At 36.1% G+C, this 25,380-nt stretch overlaps 1 protein-coding gene across 1 annotated transcript in view; it reads left to right on the top strand.

Moving 5' to 3' along the window:
• The window catches only part of DOK6 (docking protein 6), a 448,200-nt gene that overhangs the window by 137,443 nt on the left and 285,377 nt on the right, over positions 1 to 25,380 (top strand). The gene's annotated exons all lie outside the window — the stretch shown is intronic.

Genomic DNA, 25,380 nt, shown 5'->3' on the forward strand with positions numbered 1-25,380 from the left:
TTTTCCAATAAGAATAATTTAAAAGTTTGGGTGCCTTAGATGATCCATTTCTCCTTTTTTTTTCCCCTCTGAGACAGGGTCTTGCTCTGTTACCCGGGCTGGAGTGCAGTGATGTGAACACAACTCCCTGCAGCCTTGACCTCCTGGGCTCAAGCGATCCTCTACCTCAGCCTCCAAAGTAGCTGGGACTACAGGCATCCACCACCATGCCCAGCTAACTTTTGCATTTTTGGTAGAGATAGGAGTCTCACTATATTGCCCATGCTGGCCTCCAACTCCTAGGCTCAAGCAATCTGAGCATCTAGGCCTCCCAAAGTGCTACTATCACAGCTGTGAGCTACCGCCTCCATTTCTCTTTACTACACCAACCTTTCTATTCCCACTGCCTTGCTCACCAGGATATTTCCTCTCTAGTTACTCTGGTCACCTCTCTGATTGTCTTCCTGAGAATCTCATCCCTTCATTTCCCTTTAAATGTCAACCTTCCTCCTCCTCCCTTCTTCTTGGATCCCTTTTTCCTCTCCAGCCTTCCCTGCAAATACTGCCCTTGATCCTCCTAGGCTATTGGATGGTTTATCTAAGTCTCAGTTGCTCTCTGTTTCTTCATCTGTAACGTGGAAATAATAGGAGTAGCTTTCACACAGAGCAGATGTGAGAATTGAGGGACAGAGTGCTTGGATATGCTCTTTCAAACATAAACAGAAGTCGTGTAATGAGTATCAGCTGTTATTATAATAGAAGCAAGGTCAACTAAGAGACATCCCTGCCTTAGGCTTTTTCTTATCAAACTACACTACAGCACCAGAGTTAACCATCCTGAAATACAAACATGATCATGAATTCTTCATTGGTTGTCAATATAAATTTAAAAAAACAACACCTCACATACCTCTGTCAAGCATTTAATCTGTCGTTCATCAAATTTAGTATTTATTACCAGATAGGCAAATCACTAGCACATGATTCGTGAATTGCGAAGTTTGTCTCCTTTCATTTTGGTAGATTCTGCCCCTGAATTCTGTAGTGGAAACTTATTTTTCTTAAATTCATTTTTTTGTAGTTCTAGAGTTTTTTTGTGAAGATAAAAAAAAGTGACCATACATTTTTAATTATTTTTCTTTCTCATACAAAAACAGCTTTTTTTTTTTTTTTCCACATATAGTGATCCTCCTGCCTTAGCCTCCAAAGTAGCTGGGACTACAGGCACAGGGACTCCAGGATATACGTATATATCCTCCAGGAGATACATATGTATCCTGGATAGATTGTCATGTCAGCATATAGAAAGCTTTCTTATTCCAGTAAGTGCATGTACCATTGTTTATTTAATAAATTCATTATTAATGGCTAATTTTATTTTGCAGGTTTTGCTATATGAACAATTCTATAATACAGAACTTATGCACGTAACATTGTTATGGATGCAGATGTATCTAAGATGTACATTTTAGAATGTGGGAATGATGGTTCAAAGTCACATGTATGCAATTTTGATATATATATTTTTCAAATGAAATATGTATTAGTTTGTTCTCTCAGTACTATAAATAAATACCCGGGACTGGGAAAGAGGTATAATTGACACAATTCTGCATGGCTGGGGAGACCTCAGGAAATTTACAATCATGGCAGTAGGTGAAGGGGAAGGAGGCAGCATCTTTCACAAGGCGGCAGGAGGGAGAAAGAATGCATGTGTTGGAGGAACTGTCAAATGCTGTCAAATGCTTATAAAACCATCATGTCTCCTGAGAACAGCATGGGGGAAACTGCCCCCAGGATCCAATCACCTCCCACCAGGGCCTGCCATCAACATGTGGGGATTATGGGGATTACAGTTCAAGATGAGATTTGGGTGGGAACACAGAACCTAACCATATCAATGTTTGTTATACTTCCTGCATTGATTAGAGATGCCACCTTTATCATCATATCCTCTTTCTAGATTTTCTTTGCTTTCCTATTCTGATTACTCATCTGCCATTGCCATACTGTTTTAATTATTGAGGCATTATGTTTTAATATATATTTGGTCTCCCCCACCATTGTATTTATTTTTCTGAGTTTTACTGGCTATTTCTTATTTTACCACAAGTTAAATAATGTGTCTAGTTCCCAGGGACTGATTTACTATTCATTGCAATCAAAATTTAACTAATATGGGAGAATTTACCATTTGTCCACAATCTTGGTGGATCCTTGTATTAAGTCATAATCTATTTCCTCCATAAATGCCTTCTAATGACCCTTTGGTGGGTTTCAACATTCTCTTAAGTGTATTTCTCGACGTCTTCACATTTATGTGGCCATTGTAAATGAAGTTTTTTCTTCCATCATAGTTTTTCAATGATTACGGTATGTATATTCAAAATTATAGACTTTTGATAATTAATTTTATTAACACTTATCTTAGTGAAATTAATTACCTTATGCTTTGTTATAGATTCAAGTTGATTCTATTGGGCTTTTAAATATATAGGCATTTCACCTAAAGTTATTTTAGCTCTTACTTTGTAATATTTCTCTCTTTCATTTCTTTCTCTTTTGTAATTGCATTGGTTAACATTTCTACTACCACACAAATCATAGTTCTGTTAAAGAATCTTTGTTGTTTTCCTCATTGGCAGAAATTCGCCATTAAGTTTAATGCTAATTCTTGCACTAATTTGAGTGGGGGAGGAAGAAAAGAGTGTGTATGTTATCCTACTAGCATATATTATAATACATAAAATGCATATCATAACACTTTTCTGAACCTACTTACTAGTATGTTTAATTGTTCCTTTGTTTCCCCAAACTGTTTGCTCCTTGAAGGCAACTATGAGTTTTATTTTACCCAAATATAACTATGATGTTCCCCCATTGTCAACATGTACTTACTGTATAATTAGAATTGTAAGTTAAGCCACTAAAATTGCAGACTACTGTAATTTGCTCTCATGCTCTGGAATAATTCCTAAGTAGAAATATGTACTTGCTTGTGATGGGGAAATTGATGCCTTATTCATAATGGCTTAATATATAAGCCTTAAAGCAAGGAAGCAGCAGTGGGTGGGATCTGTGCATTGATGATGTATGTATATTATCCACAAAGACTGAGTGCATTATTATATATTTTAAAAACCCAACCATTTCCAATCATTTATGAGAGATATTTTATTGGAGATAGGTATGAAAGTGTTATTAATGTATATAATTGCATGTATCTAGGTTTGAAATAATCGATACTGGTCCTTTATTAATCTTAGGCATGAGTTTATGCCTTCCATGAATATATACTGAGCCATGAAGGGAATACATTGTGCCAGAAGCTGTTTGACATACAAAGTTTTACCTTCCACAACCATGCACTCTCACAGGAGAAATGAAACTTCTATATGCTGATTTACAAAAACAGAAGAGTATGATAATGGTCATGTTTGTGGCAAATAGAGCATAGGAGAATGGAACCTGTAGGCATTACAATGAACAGGAAAGCTTGATTTGCCAAACAATTCCTTCCTTGAAAACTCTGTATTGATAGGAAAAAGTAATCAATTTGGCCAGATGTCAGGATACCTGGAAAGCACAAAGAAAGAGAGCTATCTGTGACAGACTCTGTCTCATAAATAAGTAAATAAATAATTTTAAAAAGAAAGGGAGTTGACAAGTAGTTGTGAGTCCCTAGAGCTTAGTTTGAGTAAAAAGAAGTGGAAGTTAGTCTGAAAAGGCAGAATGGAGATGGTGTGGATGGCCTTGTGTGTGGGATTTAGGCAGTTAGAATTTACCTGCTAGACAACTGGATGCTCTCAAAGGTGCCATGAAATTACAAAAGCATTAGTATGATTATTTTTATTGTGGTTTATAGAACAGTTTGGAGAAGAAGAGAAGGATTAAATAGGAAACCAACTTAGCAAACTTAACAATAATTTAGTATTATGCCAAACTTTAAGCTACTTCGCTTTTCTGCCTGACCGACCCATTTTGTAAGCAGGAATAATGATATTGCCTGCCTTGATGGATTTGGGTGTGGCTTAAACTATGTTAATGTTTGTAAGTCACTTTACAATGGTGGGAAACAGAAGAAATTAAGATGTTAGTTATTATTACTGAAAGTCAAGATTGTTGCTGCTACCCTATGAAAGTGATGACCAAAATGTTGACCCAAGAGAAAAAGATAAGTTAAGCCATAAAATTAAAATAATATTAAAACAAATCTAGAACCCCTCCAAGTCCAGTTACGTAGCGCTACACGAAAAGCTGGTACATTTTACACAGCAGCTAACATTAAATTTAGGAGAACAATAAAAATGAAAATATAAAGTAGGAAAGAAACACCATGTACTTTTTGCAGTTTCAGAGATTGATTTTTTTTTCTGAGTAAAAACGCTTGCTTAAGACGTTTCATTTCAAGGGAGCTTTGTACATTTGAAATCAGTCATTCTTGAAGTTATTTCTTCCATGGGCTTTCGAGCCTCTGAAGCTTTCATGACTCGTTCATGCAATGAGGTGAAAAGCTTCTGTTCATACACCGAGCGTGGATTAGTTCCTAAGGCTGCAAGGTGCCATGGTCTCAAACATCATTTAGTTGAGATCTTGACATTTCTTTTACTTTTGATTTTAAAACATACTTATTATTGCAGTCGATTTGTCTTCTTCTAATGAAAGGATAGAAAGATTGTCCAAAGGGGTATTTTCAAAGGAGTCTGCTTTGGGACAAAAATCTATTGATAACTAAGTACATGAAGTAGAGGGTTCTTCACTGGTTTAATCCCAAGCAGACCCCGTAATGGCCTTAGATTCCTTAGGTCTTAGAAGGAGGAAAGTAAGTTGTAAACCCTTTTTCTTTCTTTACACTCCTTTCAATTTACTTTTATTTTCGGCTGTCACTTGGGCTTTCAGACATGAAAAATTGCAACTGTGCTGAAATTTTCAGTGTGCCAGAATAAATGGTGATTCTCCTTCATGACTGGTTTCCAGTTTGAGAACAAGGACTTTCTTTTAGGGAGTTTGGATACACTTCACTCTCAGGCAGGTGAACAGAGAACAAGTGAGAAGCGATAAGTATGAGGAAAGATAGAGAAGACCTTTCCCACACAAAGGTGACTTCACAAAGAAACAAGGATGAAGGAAACAGACAAACATATACAACCTCTCATTTCAACTACATCTCTATTTTCTCCATTCTTTTTTTCCCCCAAGTCCAAGTTCTCATTCTTGAAGAAAGCCAACCTGTTTTCCTTGGTGGTGTAAGTTTTCCCAACTTTTAAACCAATACATTAATATCTTGCTTAAGGCTCAAGTGTATAATGTATGAGGGAGTATAATTTTGTAATTCTAAATCCAAGCCCTGAAGCTAGACTTTCAGGGCTTGATTTTTGTATCTCCGTTACTACCTTTTAAAAAAATATTTCTGCACCTTGATTTCTTCATGTGAAACAAAATGATAATAATGTAGCCTAATTATGTTGTTTTGTGGATGAGATTAATTTCAAAGACAACAAAGAACAAATGATAAGGGAAAACATTATAAAGCATGTACATTTTTAAAATAAGGGAATTTCAGGTAAGAAATAATGCAAGCAAAGAAATGGAAGCAAATATATTGAAGGGGTAATGATGACTAAACCAGTCCAATTTGAGGAAAGGATTTAATAGAGAAAGGGACAAATGTTCCACATGATTTTGGGGTTAGTTCATGACAGTTCTTGCGGGGCTGAGGTGGGTGGATCAGGAGGTCAGGAGTTTGAGACCAGCCTGGCCAACATAGTGAAACCCTGTCTCTACTAAAAAAAAAAAAAATCAGCCAGGTGTGGTGGCGTGCATCTGTAATCACAGCTATGTGGGAGGCTGAGGCAGGAGAATCACTTGAACCCTGGAGGTAAAGGTTGCAGTGAGCTGAGATCGAGCCATTGCACTCCAGCCTGGGTGACAGGGCAAGACTCCATCTCAGAAAAACAAAACAAAACAAAAAAACTTGTCCAGAAACTCAGTGCTGTAGATATCAATGTTATATTATCCATGCGTTAGTGATGCTTTCATACATTTTTCAAGGGAGAAACTGTACACAAGGAATAAAAGGTAATGAGGAATGATCAAATTTAGGAAAACGAAGTTAAAAAGAGGAGTGAATGAAGAAAATAATGGGAAAGCAGTCAGTAAAGGAGGAGAACCACATAATGAAAACACTCAACAAATGTAAAACAAAAATACTGTGGTCATGAATGTCACAAGTTCCAAAATTAGCAGGAAGTGCCTATCAGAAGCATTGAGAAGTTTTAAAGAGAATATAGTTGTGCTCAGGCCACAGTTTCAAACCATACAGTTAGAACCTTCAGGAACTGGGTCTTGGCATGATCAAACCCTATGCTAACTGGATCCATAAAATAAAAACAAACTGAACTGCTCGTACATAGAAATACGGTTTTTATATATTACTGACTTTCACCTCTATGGCTGATTGATTAAAATAAAACATGAATTTCAGAAGCATAACTTTATATAGAGGCAAAAATATTTTGATTTAAAAAAAAATTACAACCCGCCAGGTGCGATGGCACACGCCTGTAATCCTAGCACTTTAGGAGGCTGAGGCGGGCGGATCACTAGGTCAGGAGCTCGAGACCATCCTGGCTAACATGGTGAAACCCCATCTCTACAAAAAATTAGCTGGGTGTAGTGGTGCACGTCTGTAATCCCAGCTACTCAGGAGGCTGAGGCAGGAGAATCACTTGAACCCGGGGGTGGAGGTTGCAGTGAGCCGAGATTGCGCCACTGCACTCCAGCCTGGGTGACAGAGCGAGACACCATAAAAAAAAAAAAATTACAACCCATGATATCAGAAAACATGGCTTTTTCCTAGAGTTCTTGAGCAAAAACAAAGGACTATTTATTCCGCATCATTTCAGTTTTGAGCTCTCTGAAAGCTGGGAACTTGAAGGGTGTAATTTTAAGTATCCTTCCAGTGTTGTGATTGTTTCCAAAAATTTCCTTCTGCTTGGGGTACTGCTGGGCAGGTGTACTCTACAACTAGTTTTCATTCTTATTGTAATGATGACAGTTTCACACTGTTGACCTAAAACTTGCTGCTGTTTAGGAAACTTCATTTCTGTCTGTAAATTTAAGCCATGTGTGTATTTTCTCCTGGTATTTCATTGATGATCTGGTAACAAAATCAGCAGAGATCACTATTTCTCTTCAGTGAAATACCAAAAAAAAAAAAAAAAAGAAAAGAAAAAACACTTGACCTCCTCAAAAATTGCCACTACTTAGAATTTTAGAACCATCATTTGCCCATTATGAATTTTACAGTTGTTTTCCTGGATTATTAATATGAAGAGAAAGCTAAATAATAGAACTGGAAAAGACTACTACATTCATTTTGGTCTTTTCCACTATACGAAATAAGATAAATTGAGATATACATATTGCTCTTTAAGCATTTTTTTCTAGTATTTCAGTATACTGTAAATAGATGGCAGTATTCACATTTTGGATTATATAATTGCAAATGATGAAATTTTTAAGCTACAAAGTTGGTAAGTACATTCTCTTATAAAAATGAGCTTATGCTCTAAAAGAAACTAAACCTAGAATTTTAAAAAGTGTTGGTCCTATGATTTATATTTAAATAGGTGTTTTATACCTGGATAGATGCATATATTCATGTATATTATTTATATAAATATGTAAACTACGTGGTGGCTTATGCCTGTAATCCTAGTACTTTGGGAGGCCAAGGCGGGCGGATCACTTAAGGTTGGGAGTTCGAGACCAGGCTAGCCAACATCGAGAAAACCCATCTCTAATAAAAATACAAAATTAGCCAGGCATGGTGGCGCATGCCTGTAATCCCAGCTACTTGGGAGGCTGAGGCAGAAGAATCGCTTGAACCTGGGAGGTCGAGGTTGCGGTGACCCGAGATCTCACCATTGCACTCCAGCTTGGACAACAAGAGCAAAACTCCGTCTCAAAAAAAAAAAAAAGTGTAAACTAAAATTGAGAAAAATAGATATACATACATATACCTGTATGCATAAATATAAATGGCTAGCACCATATACATACAATGATAGCATGTGTCTGCGTCCTCTCTTCCTGAACCTCTCACTTTCTACCTCTGCTGTTTTCAGTCATAGATTCCATAACCAGGAATGGCTAACTTTTTAAAACACTTAAATAAAACCAACCCTTCGAGCAGAGATATGAGTTCTTACAGTTTGTGGGGTACTACCTATAAAATAAATATATTTAGATTTGTAAATATTTAAGAAAATACAATCGTATTTCACAGTCCAAGTTATATGCTCTTTGCCTTTTATCACTATGGACTGCTTGGTGCCTCTTAAAACAGAGGCTGCTTTTTTATTGGTACATAATATTTTGCATATTCTTGGGGTACCTGTGATATTTTGTTACATGCATGGCATGAGTAATGATCAAGTCAGGGTATTTGGAGTAGCCATCACCTTGAGTATTTATCATTCCTATTTGTTGGGAACATTTTAAGTCCTCTCTTCTAGCTGTTTTGAACTATATCATATGTTGCTGTGTTAAGCTGTTCTTACATTACTATAAAGAAATATCCGAGACTGGGTAATTCATAAGAAGGAGGTTTAATTTGCTCACGGTTCTTCAGGCTGTACAGAAAGCATGACAGCATCTGCTTCTGGGGAGGTGTCAGGGAGCTTTGATTCATGGTGGAAGGTGAAGTGGGAGCAGACATGTTTTCACGTGGAAAAAGCAGGAACAAGAGAGATAGTTGGGTCAGGGAACGTACCCTTTTTTGTTGTTTGTTTGTTTGTTAGTTTTTTGAGACGGAGTCTCACTCTGTTGCCAGGCTGGAGTGCAGTGGTGTGATCTTGGCTCACTGCAACCTCTGCCTCCTGTGTTCAAGCAATTCTCTTGCTTCAGCCTCCTGAGTAGCTGGGATTACAGACGCGCACCACCACGCCCAGCTAATTTTTGTATTTTTAGTAGAGACTGGGTTTGACCATGTTGGCCAGACTGGTCTCGAACTCCTGACCTCGTGATCTGTCTGTCTCGGCCTCCCAAAATGCTGGGATTACAGGCATTAGCCACTGCACCCTGCCGGGCACACACTTTTAAACAACAGGATCTCAGGAGAATTCATTCACTATCACAAGGCTAGCACCAAGAGGATGTTACTAAACCATTCATGACAAATCCACCCCCATGATCCAATCACCTCCCAGCAGGCCTCACCTCCAACAGTGCGGATTACATTTTAACATGAGATTTGGAGTGGACAGTTATCCCAACTATATTAATTGCTATTAACTACAGTCACCCTACTCTGCTATCTAACGTTAGAACTTATTCCTTCTATCTAACTATATGTTTGTACTCATTACAACCAATGTCTCTTCATCCACCCTCATCCATACACCCTTCTTAGCCTCTGGTAACCATCATTCTACTCTCTCTCCATGAGATCCACTTTTCTAGCTCCCACATAGAAGTGAGAATGTGCAATATTTGTCTTTCTGTTCCTGGCTTATTTCACTCAATAGGATAACCTCCAGTTGCATCCTTGTTGCTGTAAATGACATGATTTTATTTTTATGGCTAAATAATATTCCATTGTATCTATATATAATATATAATATATATATAATATATATAAAATATATATATATGTATTTTTGAGACAGAGTCTCGCTGTCACCCAGGCTGGAGTGCAGTGGCGCAATCTCAGCTCACTGCAAACTCCACCTCCCAGGTTCACTCCATTCTCCTGCCTCAGCCTCCCGAGTAGCTGGGACTACAGGTGCCTGCTACCACACCCGGCTAATTTTTTGTATTTTTAGTAGAGACGGGGTTTCACGGTGTTAGCCAGGATGGTCTCGATCTCCTGACCTCATGATCCACCCGCCTTGGCCTCCCAAAGTGCTGGGATTACAGGCGTGAGCCACCGCGCCTGCCCTCATATATATATTTTTTTAATCCAGTTGTCCATTGACGGACACTTAGGTTGATTCTACATCTTGCTATTGTGAACAGGGGGCACCTTTTTATAGTTGACTTGTCTTTTTCAGTTGCTCTTATATTTTTAGGTATTTCTAATAAACTCACAGGTGGAGAAAAACATTTTGGGCTTTACATTATCAGAGAGCCACTGCATTTATTTCAGAGAATTCAGCAGGCTGTGAACCATATCCTGACTTACAATTTTGTACAAAGGACGGCCCATAATGGATGTATGTATTGTAGCAGCATACAGTCTGTTTGGCTAAGCATATAAAAGCTACAGAACTGTAGATATTTTAATGACAGCTGCAGATCTTACAGCTTAGAGACTTGTAGCTTGAAAAACCGAGTCATTGAATACAAGTCGACCTGAAATACACGGTCACTCAACCAGTCTGGTATATTCCTGGACCTATATGGCTGCTTTTAAAATTTGATTTTATTTATGACCTTAAGCATTTTGTTTAAGAATTTTTAATTGTAAGAGCTTCAGTTTACTTAAGAATTTCTACCTTGGCCGGGCGCGGTGGCTCACGCCTGTAATCCCAGCACTTTGGGAGGCCGAGGCGGGCGGATCACGAGGTCAGGAGATCAAGACCATCCTGGCTAACATGGTGAAACCCCGTCTCTACTAAAAATACAAAAAAAATTAGCTGGGCGAGGTGGCGGGCGCCTGTAGTTCCAGCTACTCGGGAGGCTGAGGCAGGAGAATGGCGTGAACCCCGGGTGACGGAGCCTGCAGTGAGCCAAGATCGCGCCACTGCACATCAGCCTGGGTGAAAGAGTGAGACTCCGTCTCAAAAAAAAAAAAACAACAACAAAAAATTTCTACCTTAACGTGCCTTAAGTTAAGTTGATGCTGCTTGGAGTTCTGAATCTGATTTAAATGTTAGTGAATGACTTGCTTCTTAGATGCATTTAGCTATTTGCCAAAATGCATGAAATTTTTTTTAGAAAAAATGCTGTCTAATGTGGAATATCATTATTGTAGCCACAGTACTTCTTATGGGAGCTGCCATATTTAAAGGAAGTTGTATGATAGGCCTATGCAAATTAACCATGCTTTTTTTATTAAATTAGTAGTTGTAGGATGAGGCATTCTTACTATCATAATGATACAATCAGAGTGAGAAAATGCATGAGATGGGTTGTTGCAGATTCCCTGCTCCCTCTACAAATTCTTATCGTGAAAGTTAACATTTTAAAGTTCATAATCCATTACCCCATTTGTCCAGTCCTTTCCTAGTTCTTGATTAGGCATTTAATTTAAAAAAATTGAATGGCTTAATTTGGGCATAGTAGTTGTATACACACTTTTTGGTGGCAATTTCCATAAAGCAGTTTGTATCTCAACTCATCAAGTGGTTTGTTAATGAAGTGAGAGTTTGTTAAAGATCTTTACTTGAGGATCCTTAAGGAAAATTGATGCCTATGCAAGATAGACACTCATTTTACCCTCAGGGAATCAGATCTGGAAGCACTTATAGTCTGTAGAGCTTAATGAAACAAAGTACATTTTTTATTTGAAAGAATTTATTAGATTTATCTAAGAAAACGTGGGGAAGAGTTTTTAATTTTTTTTTTTTTTGCCTATCTAGGATAGGAAATTAATGCTAATAGCTACTATTTCTTAGATAAAGATATATTAAATAAGAGTACAACAATAGCTATATCCAGTTTTAATATACTTCCTACATGCCAAGATACTTTAGAAATGTTAATTTTATTAAGTTTATAAAGTGTAATCATCTTGCATTTTCAGAATATTAGAACATAGCCAATCCAAAATTTTACAAACATTTTTGACAAAAAATAATCATGGATTACCTAAGATTACTTATTTATTTAATAATACATAAAGTTTTAAAATTCAACCTCTTCTGCGTCTACAAAATTCTATTACTAAGAAGCAAAGCCATCATTTTTAGGTATATCTAAACAACAACCTTCCATACATTTTCAGGCACAACAAAATGCCTGTATGAAAATGTTCCTGGAAAGTAGCACTGATGAAATTTTCTGATTCTTTCCAATACCAAACAACTCTGGATAAGATAAAAGCACCCATGGGAAAAAAAATAAAGCAAAACTAAAACAAAACAGAATAAAAACAAAGATGCTGTATTAATTAATTTGAGAAACAATATATTTTTTTCCTCCTTCTCAATGCATTTTAAATGCTTTGAGATTCCCTGGGTAAACAACAACTTAACTTTGTTTAATCCAGCATTTTGCAGAATCATTTACACATGGAACCTTGGCTTCTTTGCTCAGCATATACATCAGTATCGGATGGTGTTAAGCACAGTTTGAGAAAGCTTCTTGAGAAAAATATGAGGAAAATTATGAAGTGTATGGAGAGCTAAGAGTTATTTTACTTCATGTATATGAGAACAAGTTACATCATTTTGTTTTCCCTAATATATATTGACAGTTTCTTAAGTTTTTTTATTTGTTTGTTTTGTTGTTGTTGTTTCTTTCTTTTTTTTTTTTTTTTTTTTTATTTTGAGACGGTCTTACTCCCTCACCCAGTCTGGAGTGCAGAGGCACGATCTTGGCTCACTGAAACCGCTGCCTCTGGGGTTCAAGCGATTCTTCTGCCTCAGCCTCCTGAGTCGCTGGGATTATGGGCATGTGCCACCATGCCCGGCTAATTTTTGTGTTTTTAGTAGAGACAGGATTTCATCATGTTGCCCAGGCTGGAGTTTTTTTTTAATCTTAACTTATTTACAGGAAGTAACATTTACTGTACTTTAAAAAATATACTAATTTAATCAAAGCAGTAGAAAGGAAAAAAACATTAGTGAAAGGATGAAGTTGAATTTTTGAAGAAAGCTTTCCTTCTTTTATAAAGATATAGTGATAAGTGTATGGACACCAAATGATTCCTTTGAGAATGAGTTGAAATCATAAATTCATTTGTCCGAGAAAATAACACAGTTACATTAAAAAATATGTGTAACATTTCAAGTACTTTTTAGGCATCGTGAAGCTTGTGCCTGGGCTATCTAATAATCACTGACTTAATATTTTTGTATTAGAATTCCACAGTTTGAAGAAAACAGTGCTGTGTATTTTTGAAATGTGGTGTTCTGCAATCAACAAGATATAGGGGTTTTAATTTTCAACAACTACCTTTTATTCAATAAATATCTTGATTATCATGTAGTCATAAATCATTGACTTAAAAGTAGGGCAGGTAATATTTATACTGTCTATCAGATATTTGAAATACAAACAATAATTAGAAAAAGAATGGACCCATATGGTATAAAATACTAAGGTTCCTCTGCTCAGGAAATCCAGGAGGATATGTCAATAAAAAAGGTAAAACACATATATAGATTAGAAACACTACACAGTCAAAGTAATGGAAAGTCTTCAGTGGCTATGTAAAGAAAATCACTGTTATTTTTCATCTTATTCCAGTGGCTTTTAGGAAATTCATATATTGAAACAAACATCAAAATTTCACTCTTAGCAAAACTGTCTGATTTTAATATATGTGTATTGTTTTTAATGTTTCACTCTTTCCAAAGATGTATTTACATTTTGAATTTTCCAAATTGATTATTAATGTTCTTACGTTTAGAAAATCACTTCTAAAATGTATTGAAATCTCCATAAATAATAAAAAATAATTGCAAAATGCATTACCCCAGTTCACATACTTGGCTATTCAGGCAAGCCCGATCATGTTCAAGAAAGGCAAGTAGGTTTCACCTACATTTTGCTGAGCAAATTATATTTTGGATGATTGTTATATAAATTAGGAGAGGATTTTAAAAAATCACTTTCCTGGAACATAGTGAGGACTTACTGGACAAAAATGGAAAGGACACTGTTTCTACACTTTAGAAGCTCATTGTCTTGTGGACAAATAAAGCAGAAAAATACTTAGGGATTTTTATATATTAATCAAGATGTCAGAGCTCAGAGTGTTTTGGAAAAATAAATCTCCATGTTTTAAGAACTTGGTTTAGGACATTTGGAAATATATTAATAAGTAGATAAACATCTTAAATATATAATCATATATTAAAGATGAATTTTAATATAGCAAGCATTATACTAAATATTCTATATTAAATTTATATTATCTATGTTTGCTCTATATTTTGTAGTGACAATATCAATAAAATTTGTATTTGTAAATGTTTTTCCATAGGAACCTGTTTGGAAATATTTAATACATAAATACATCCATAAGTTACCATTAAAATGATATTATACATGTGTATTTATTGATAAGGCATGAAGTTCAGAACATTTGCTATGTGAATAAGAGGATTACTTCCTCCAGGACTTCCACTTCCCATTCTCTTTTAATTTTCTTCATACTGGTTGTTCTTTATTATAATCTGCATGTTATTCAGTTATTTTTTATTTTGTCTTTGTGTCTGTACTGAGAGGTGAACTCCATGAAGACAAGGATGGCAGGTGTTCTTGTTTGTTTCATTCACTGCTTGACACTAAGCAACTGGAAGTGTACCTGGCAAATAGCAAATATTCATAAGATGTTTGCCGAATGAATGAATTATGAAAGTGGAACTCTTTGAAAAGCTGTATTCATAGAGAAAATGTGTGTGTGTGCACATGCGCGTGTGCGCACAGAGATATGATGTGCTAATTTTAGAAGGCTGTCTATCAAAATGCTAGCAATATTTTTCTCTGGATGGTAGTGGAATTTTAAAATATTCTTTAATTGGCTTTTTGGTATTATTTGTCATTTTAACAAAAAGAGATAGAAATTAAGATTAGAAACCATAATGTTTTAAGATTTAACATTGTGATTTTAAAATATCAATTTCTTCATCTCTATTCACCCCAAACATATTTTGAATGCCTATGTTGCTGCAGGTGGGAAAATAATTGCTATTTCTGTTCGTAAGTCAATTAATAGCTTACCAGGAAAGATAATAAAACATCGACTGGAGAACAAAGTCAAATTGTAATGAAATCCGTAACAGTTGTGCATAGTGTAAGTCTATTCTAAAGACTAAGTATTGAAAATAAGTTCATTATTTCACACAAGAATAAAGAGACATAAATCATGGCCTTCTGTCCATGCATTCATTGTTGAAGTGTATGTTTAATTACCACCTCTGGTACAACACAGTTTAGATTAGAGATATTATGATGTGGAAATAGGTGGGCCAGAGAGATGGGCTGAAAACAGAGGCTTTGGAGACAGACAAATGCATTAGAGTTTTCATAGCACCACTTGGTTTTGTGATCTTTGCCAAATTACTTGACTTAAGTGGATGAGACTTACTTACCCTTCTGTGCTGTAGCCAGGATTGTCTGACCTTGTATGTGAAGCCCCCAGCACGGTGTCTCCCTGCTCAACAAGTGTGGATTTAACACCCTTTGCTAGGTAGAATCCCAGCTTGTCTCCCTTCAGAAGCCCCAGTACAACCACTTACATACTCACTCCAGACTCCAATTGAAAATCCAGTCATTTACTTATTTCTTTTAACAGATAAACTAAAGATGTTGGGGCTCCTTAGAAACTTGAGCACCTTAGATGTCAGTACTTCTGGGATGCCTGCATCTTAACCAAAAGCTGTTTGATGTCCACCTGCTCCTTTACAAATTTCAGTCTCATGAGTGGTTTGTCGTAATACCTTTTGTAACACATGTAGCAGGGACTGCCTTCTGCTATCCTTGAAAATCCTAGCAAAGGATCAATTCTTCTGTCTCTATCTGTTCCTATATCACTTTTTCTTACAAATAGGGAGCAATAATAAGGAGAAAACCAAAAATGGGTCGCATAACATCTGCATAAACTTCAACATGTGATATTTTTAAACTTAAAAAAATTGTAATTAAGGCACCCGTAGAGAAAATGACACAACTGGAGACTAAAATGACTAAATGGAGAGTTTAAAGCAAATACTAGTGTACATGCGAATTATATCAAGAAACAGAACTTTGTTAGTAGCCAAAAAGAAACCCCAATCCCAATACATTCCTTCCCATTCACACCAGGACCTCCCACTAAATGAACCACTGTGCTGATTACGATGGAAGCCACTTTCTCACTCTTTATACACTTGTCACCTAAGCATGCATCTTTGAACAGTGTAGTTGAGTTTTGGCAATTTGAGGAATTTATAGAAATAATCCTTGTATCATGCTTTCTTTTGTGTCTGGATTATTTTATTCAACATAACGTTTTTGAGATTTGCACGTGAGGTTCTATGTAACCATAGTTCATGTATTTCTTTGATTGCTGCCTAGTATTCAACTATATACATCAATCACAACTTCTGCATTTGAGACTTATGTGAATAATGCTATAATGGCCATTCTTCTTGTGCAATGTACAGATATTTCTGTTGAGTACATAACCAGGAGTAGAATTGCTAGAGCCTGTGTAAATTGTTAGCAGAATTGCTAGATTCTGGGTGTGTATCTCCCAAAGTCATCTGGTGCACACTCTCTCCAGTAGAGTGTGAGACTTCCATTGCTCCATATCCTTACCAACACTTGGTATTATCAGTATTTTTATTTTTTTCTCCATTTTGTTGCAAATGAATTGATATCTTATTGTGCTTTTACTTCAGGTTTCCCTGAGTACGAATGTAGTTGAGCATTTTGTATAAGCCTATTGGCCATTTATACAGCTCCTTTTTATAAGCGCCTGCTCAAGTATCTTGCCCTCTTTAAAACTGGATTGTCTGTCTTCTTTTGGATTATTTACATATTCTGGATATGTACCCATTTAACAGTTACGTGTGTGGCAAGTATCTTCTAATCAATTCCTTGGTTTTTGATTCTCTGATAATTCTTTCCTAATATGTAAAAATTTATATTCTTATTTATTTCCGCTTATTTTATCTTACAATAATGTTTTGTGTCTTATTTTTCTCTACTTTGAAATCACTGACATACTAATTAACATGCTATATTTTCTTCAAAAAGCTTTAATTACTGGACCTTTTACATGAATATTAAGGATCCACCAGATTCCTAAGACTGAAAATGTTAAGTGTCGCCATTTTGGAAAAGAGTAACATGCTTTAAAGAGCAAAAATCTTGTTGAGTGGGCATTGTAGCAGTTTTTTGAAATAGGTGTAGTCTTTTTTTCCGTTAAGAAAAAGAATCTGCCTGATTTTGGGATATCATATCAGGAAAAGGTCAATTTTCACTTTGTTTTCAATATATTTATCCAACTATCCCAGAGCTATTTATTAAAAAGTCTTTTTCCATTGTTTTGAAGTGCTCCTTTTGTCATAAATCAAATATCCATATATGTGTTTATTGATGGTTCTGTTCCTGATCTATTTGTATTTGTCTGATTCTACGGTGTCTTAATTACGGTGTCTTCTAATTGGTCTTGGCATTCTATTTAGCAAGTCTTCCCATCTTGTTACTCAATCTTATTTGAATCCTTTGAATTTTCTGGTTTGTAACCAAATATATAATCAGTTTCTCTCATGTTCCGTGTGAGCTTGAAAATAATTCATATTATGCAATCATTGGGTACTGCATTCTGCAGAGGTCTATTTAATCAATTTGATAAATATTTTTGCTCAGATACTGTGTATCCTTCCTGATTTGTTAGCAGATACTGACATTTTAAACAAACAAACAAAACACGTTATTGTGGCCTTGTCGGTTTTTGTCAGCTCTGATTTACAATTCTGAGGCTACATTCATGAATGCATATAAATTCAGAAGAGTTTACACATTCTGCTGAATTAACCTCTGATCATTGCAAAGTGTCTCCATCTCTAATAATACATTTTGCTTTGAAGTAGACTTTGATATTAATATAGTTACATCAGTTTCTTTTTGTTAAGATTTAAGTTCTATTGTGTTCTCTCACTGCTTAGAGCTTTTAATGGCATCAGAGAGTAAAAGCCAAGATCCCTTCCTGACCTGGCTTGTCCCTGTCTCTCTCAACTCCAGCCACCTTGTTCTGATTCCCTGCCCTCCACGCTGGCCCCTTGCAGCTCTTGAAGCAGTTCAGAAGCTCCCACATCAGGGTATTTACCTGTGCAATTCTCTCTGGCTGAAATGCTCTTTCCTCAGATGTCTGCATCACTCATTCTTTCATGTTCTCTAATGCTGCTCCTAAAAATCTCCCTGGGGGTTGAGCCTTTCCTCACCACACCCAATGTTCCCTTCTCCATCCTTGTGCATAATTCTCTCCATAGCACATAGCAAAAAAAAATTAAAATAAAAAAAGCTATTTACAAATGTGCTTCTTTGTTTGCTGTCCACCCATCTACGATATTGAAATGGTAGTTTCATGCAGCCAGAACTTTGTTTCCATAAGGGCAGAAACTTGGTTTTTGTTGTTATTATTTTATTCGTTTAAATTCTTTTTTATTACTCTATCCAGAGAATGTAAAACTCTCAAGTACTTTTTGAATAAATGAATGAATGAATAAGAGGAATTGTAGCATTATATTTATCTGTGTACCTATCTATGGATCTACCTATCTATTTAACAGCCATTAAATATAAGCTAGTATTAAGATAGAGCAAAACTCATTTCTCTATTGAAAAGATAGCTAAAGCTAAACTCATCAGTGCGTTAAAGTGAATCCTGTGCACTGACTACTTTTTTACACAAACCAAGTGTGTCTTTCAATAGTACTACACACGTTTTGTCAAAGGGCAAACACTTAAGACCAAGTAACTGAAATTACTCATAGCATAAACCTGTAAATAACTCTTCTGGATGGGCTTTGCTGATTTGTTTATTCATTTGTTGTCTTGATGTGTTTGTCTGATACACAGTTATAAATTAATAATAAATCTTATTCCCCAAGATGTCATTCACATGGTATCTTGCTTTCAGAACGGAACACAAACTTAGCCACTCCAGCTACGACACTTCGTTCTATAATTTTTTAAATCTCAAGGAACAAACTTTCTAACACCCCCTTTAGAGCAATTGACTCTCAGGTTTGACAACTTCTGTAACTGAAAATTCTTCCGAGTTTCTAACCAAAATCCTACTTGAAGTGCAGAGTTCATTGGGTCAACAGCTTGTGATAAAACAGGCCCATTAAATCCAACTTCTGGTTAAGGCAGAGCTTGTGAATGAGTCCTAGCTAAATAACGTAATTACGGCTATGAACTGAAGCCAAGAAATCTGCCACCTACTTCACAGTGAGTCTTAAATGGAAACAGGATATCCTTTGTGTAAAATCACCTTGAAAAGGAGAAAGAACTAAGGAAAAGAGATTGCTATGCGGTAAAATGGTTTTCATCAGATGGAAGGGGATTAAGAAGGTATTTAATGATGGCATGCTGGCTGGCTGGTTAACACAGTGGAAAGCTGAGGGTGTGAACCAGCTGTGATCCTGGGAATTCCTGGAGTCCTAGCAACAACATGGAATTTTCTATATGGGAATCGGAGGGGCACCTAGGAGCCTGTTTGATGAAATAACTGGCATGTTTAGGAGATAGTTTTGAATGAGAAAGTGAAATCAGTTAATCCCCCAGGATAAAGTGGTACAGCATCCTGAAATGATGGGGAAGGAATGTCATCTGCCGTAAGACAGACACTGGGAAGGTACATTTTCTTGTAAGCAATAGGTTCTGTTGTTAACCAGCCAATGGTCTCTGTACCTTGAGATGCCCTTGAAAGCCAAGTAGTACCCGAAGAGACTGCCCCATCTCTTCCCACCTACTGCTAATGGAGGTCATTAATTTATGTCCCATTCTCATGGGAGGCAAATAAAAATAAGGTACTGCATTTCATTCATGTGGTGCTCTTTCATGTACTCAAAGAATGTGTATCTTTCATTTACAAGCAAAATAAAACCTATTCCTTTATTATTCTTTTTTCTCCAAGGAGTGATTTCCTGGTCTCGGGCAGTCATTTCTGCTGTTCAGTCCTGGAATTTCTCCAACACTCTCACATAAGGCATCAGTTATAGGGCCTAAAGCAGATCCTAATGCACTAATAAAATCTGGTTTGATGAAGAGTACAGAAAAGGTGATCTCCTTGTACTTCTGCTTATTTTATACTTCTGGTACGGAGGTGGCTTTTAGTGTGCTGACTCATGCTTAATTTGATTTTACATTGACACAGAATGACACTTGCAAATTCTCCACTCCAGTGCCCTTTTTATTTTACTCCTATTAAAAAGCAAAATACTTTGAAAAACCATGTCCAAAGAGGGGTAGAAGATGGAACTCTGCATTTATTAAATGATTTTTTTTTGCTACTTTAAGTTTAAAATTCAGCCAGAGATCTGATCAAAATATGACTAGTCCATAGCCATGGTGAATTCATATTTCCTAATAAATTATATGCTTTCATTATTTGATGAGATGTTTATTAGACTTTTAAAATATCAAACATAACTTAATTAAGACAAACAGAAATGAAGGACATTGTACAATATACCTAACCATTAGACTTCCAAACTGTTTAGGTCACGAAAAACAAAGTGTCACATATCAGAGGAGACTAAGGAGACAGAACAACTACATGCAACTTGATATCCTGTGTCAGATCTTGAAACAGAACAGGACGAGAAAAATCTGACAAAATCTGAGCAGAATCTTTAGTTTAGTTAATAGTATTTGACCAATATGAGTGCATTCATTTTGAAAATGTACCATTGTTATATAGGATGCTATCAGAGGAAGCTGTATAGAGTATACAGGAACTCCACCATTTTTGCAACTGTTTATAAACCTAAACTTATTCCAAGATTGAAAAAAAATAATAACTTAAGGGCTTCAACTTGGTAAACAGTCTATTACATAGAATCTTTAAAAATCAGTCTTATCTCTGTGTGATTGCCTTTCTTAATGTAATAGCAAAGAGATAAGATGCTGTCAAAAATATTAAATCTATTTTTTCCTTATTATCTATTATTAGGTTTATTTTAAAACAATATTGAGTGCCTACATAGAAATATGCCTTCTGGCTCATGTTTAACTCACTCTTTAATAGAAAATAACTACAGTAACATCAGATGGGGAATTACAGTCAGCAAGTATGTGTATTTACATATTTCCACGAATATTGTAAGGTTTCATTTAACATCATGATTGTTCCCAAGCTATGAGTAACAAAGTGACAGACAGTACAGGGGAAAGCATTGTTCTGTACAAAAAGACAACAACTATATTACTAGGGATTTGAGTCTCAATTTTACTCCTCAATTAAGACTCCAAATCCATTAATGAATAGCTAAAAGATAAAATATTGATAATCTCTATACATCCCACTTTGCAGATATCTTTTTCTGTTAGCAGTCTCTCAAATCTTAGATTCATGTAACTGTTTTTTACTTCCCCAATATTATTACTCTGACAACTACCACAACCAGCACTATCCTACCATCACTGCTAGTTTTAAAAAAATATATCTAAAAGTATCTTAGTCAGTTCCAGCTTCTGTAACAAAATTTCATATAGCTAGTGGCTTGAACCACAGAAATTTATTTTTTCACAGTTCTGGAGTTTGCAAGTTTGAGATGAGGGTGCCAGCCCCATTGGGTTCTGGTGAAGGATTACTTCCTGGCTTGCACATGGCCACATTCTCACTGTGTGCTCATGTGACCTCTTCCTTGTGAGTAAGCAGAGAAAGAGAGAGAGAAAGCAAGTTGTCTCCTATGTCTTCTTGTAAGAGCACTAATCCCATTATCAAGGCTCAACCCTCATGACCCCATGTAACCCTACTTACTTCCCAAAGGCCCCATCTCCAAATACTAGCACCTTGGGAGTTAGGGCATCAGTAGATGAATTCTGTGGGATGCAGTTCAGTCATGGCAGTATCAGAAACCCAAGAGTTTCAGGTAAGAGTTTGTGGATTACTTTTCAAATTCACATGCCAGATGCTTTCTTCAGGCTATGTCTTGTAATCCTCAAAGAGCATCTTCATGAGGTATATTGATCTTAATTTAACTTCTGCAAGTGGAAGTGTTTAATGAATAGCAGAACCTGCACTAAAAATTAAATTGTTGTGACTAAAAAACTGTTTTTAGGCATTACAATATCACATCCTGAATTCTAATACAAAAGTGTGAATTTCACTAAAGACTGAGTGAAGTGATTTATCCTGCCCAAAAATTTCATGCTATATGGTGAAGAGAGTAATTTTAGGAAAACCAAATTTGATGCCGATTTTTTTTCTTTTCTTTTCAGTCATGTATTAGTGAATGTCAATATAAATAGTTATATTGCTTAACAAATATTCCAAACTACTGTGAAATATAGTAGGAACTCATATGTGTATTCAATGGAATAAACGGTTTTGTTTATTGATACTATATATAATTCTCGTAATTATGAAAATCATTTGAAAACTTTAAAACTATACTGATGCAAGCAATAATTTGTAAAGTACATGTAAATACCCATATTGGTTATAGATGCACTGAACAAGGTCTGTTGCCAAGAGCATTTTATCCATTTTGAATTAAAATACCCTGTGTTTATTGACTACCTTCTATGCACTGCGGCATGAGCTTTACATACTTAATTTTTTAACACTTAACACTTAATTGTCCGTAGCTAATTTAAGGACACAAGCTCAGAGAGATAAATGCCTTGCCCAAAGTTATGTGGCTCCAGCAAGGGCTGAGCTGGAATTCCAAGTCCAATATTTGTAGTTTCATAGTCTGTACTTGGGAGATCATTAATATGCTTTCTATTTAAAAAATTATATGGTGCTCTAATTTTTCTGGTTGCAAAATATTTGCATCTGAATATTCTGGAGCTGAATATTTATTAGAATTGTATATCACTAGGAAAAAAGTGTCCCTTCATATGGCTTTGTCATGTGCAGAAAATTGTACCTACTCTATAAGAAAAAAGCGCTTGAGAAATGGCTGAGCCTTGTGGAGAGTATGCTGTGTACTAGAACATAAGCCCATCTTGGTAAATCCTCCGTCTGTTTCTTGAGGTACCCTTCTTTATCAGCTAAGACACTAAGTAATTTGTGTAAGGTTGCACAGCTAGTAAGTGGCATAGCCATAATGTAAACCTATGTCTGTCTGATTCCAGAGCTCTATTAAGTTTCCACTATATCAAACTGTCTCTTCTTGATGTTTGCATTTCCAAAATCTGTTACCACTTGAAATGTAATTACTTCATTTAAGTTCAAAAGCAGAATTCTACAGCACTAAATAAATCTATGTAGAATTAAGTTAATTAAAGGTAGACAAACCATATGCTGATCATATTCTAATCATCTGTTTTTTTAAATACATTTCACTTTGGGAGTGTGGATAAGTAAGGGGCCAAATAAGCACATAACTACAACATTATGTGTGAAATACAGGAGCTTTATGTAGAAAGAACACCAGGAGCTCTAAAGGAGTAATATAGTTCATAATTTTCAGGTTAATGGTTAGGAAGTGTTTGTTAGGGAAGGTGCATCTGATCAGGCAGAGGAGAGGCATGTTCATGTGTGTAGGAAGTTCAGGGTTATCCTGCACATGCTTTTCAAGGCTCCTGAAAAGGATGTAAGAAAGAAAGAGTAAAATCAACTTACGGATATGCTTGGTTGTTCTACTTTTATAATGAGAGGCCTTTATGTGATTGTTGCAAGAATGCCTTTTAACATGGAAAAGACTGTCTTCTAGTGAATAATAAGCAATGCACACTTCAAAGGAATTATATTATCTAGGCTATATTTGTAAAAAAACAATATGACAACTTTGCAATTTAAATGAAGACATAGAAGAGAAATATTGTGATCTAGATTTCAGAAGTTTCCTTCTATTGATTTCCTCATGGGCATAAAGAAATTATCCACCAGCAAAGAATACACTAGATTTTTAAATTTAAAAGTTGTGGCCAATTTGCATTTTTAGACTTCTTCAATTATTGGAAAGAAAGATTCATTTTATTACCTTGTCTTTAAACATATCTGTTGAGGGAGTGTGATATGGTGGAAAGTAGATAATGAACAATTTACAGGTCTAATATTAATCAGTCCTATAAAATAAAGGCAAGGTTCAGAAATTATGGTTTGTGTCAGTGTAATTAGTAGTCTGGGTTTTTTTTTCAATCAAAGCTTAAGATTCAGACGTGTCAGGTTTGTCAAAGATAGATAGTTGTAGATATGTGGCATTATTTCTGAGGGCTCTGTTCTGTTCCATTGGTCTATATCTCTGTTTTAGTGCCAGTACCATGCTGTTTTGGTTACTGTAGCCTTGCAGTATAGTTTGAAGTCAGGTAGTGTGATGCCTCCAGTTTTGTTCTTTTGGCTTAGGATTGCCTTGGCAATGCAGACTCTTTTTACTTGACAAAAACAAGCAACGAGGAAAGCATTCCCTATTTACTAAATGGTGCTGGGAAAACTGGCTAGCCATATGTAGAAAGCTGAAACTGGATCCCTTCCTTACACCTTATACAAAAATTAATTCAAGATGGATGAAAGACTTAAATGTCAGACCTAAAACCATAAAAACCCTAGAAGAAAACCTAGGTAATACCATTCAGGACATAGGCATGGGCAAGGACTTCATGTCTAAAACACCAAAAGCAATGGCAACAAAAGCCAAAATTGACAAATGGGATCTAATTAAACTAAAGAGCTTCTGCACAGCAAAAGAAACTACCATCAGAGTGAACAGGCAACCTACAGAATAGGAGAAAATTTTTGAAATCTACTTATCTGACAAAGGGCTAATATCCAGAATCTACAATGAACTCCAACAAATTTGCAAGAAAAAAACAAACCACCCCATCAAAAAGTGGGCGAAGGATATGAACAGACACTTCTCAAAAGAAGATATTTATGCAGCCAAAAGACACATGAAAAGATGCTCATCATCACTGGCCATCAGAAAAATGCAAATCAAAACCACAATGCGATACCATCTCACACCACTTAGAATGGCGATCATTAAAAAGTCAGGAAACAACAGGTGCTGGAGAGGATGTGGAGAAATAGGAACACTTTTACACTGTTGGTGGGACTGTAAACTAGTTCAACCATTGTGGAAGTCAGTGTGGCGATTCCTCAGGGATCTAGAACTAGAACTGCCATTTGACCCAGCCATCCCATTGCTGGGTATATACCCAAAAGATTATAAATCATGCTGCTATAAAGACACATGCACACGTATGTTTATTGCAGCACTATTCACAATAGCAAAGACTTGGAACCAACCCAAATGTCCAACAATGATAGACTGCATGAAGAAAATATGGCACATATACACCATGGAATACTATGCAGCCATAAAAAATGATGAGTTCATATCCTTTGTAGGGACATGGATGAAGCTGGAAACCATCATTCTCAGCAAACTATCACAAGGACAAAAAATCAAACACCGCATGTTCTCACTCATAGGTGGGAATTGAACAATGAGAACACATGGACACAGGAAGGGGAACATCACACACTGGGGCCTGTTGCGGGGTGGGGGGAGGGGGGAAGGATAGCATTAGGAGATATACCTAATGTTAAATGACGAG

This window comes from Homo sapiens, chromosome 18 (genome assembly GCF_000001405.40).
Source record: "Homo sapiens chromosome 18, GRCh38.p14 Primary Assembly".
Classification (NCBI taxonomy): Eukaryota; Metazoa; Chordata; class Mammalia; order Primates; family Hominidae; genus Homo; species Homo sapiens.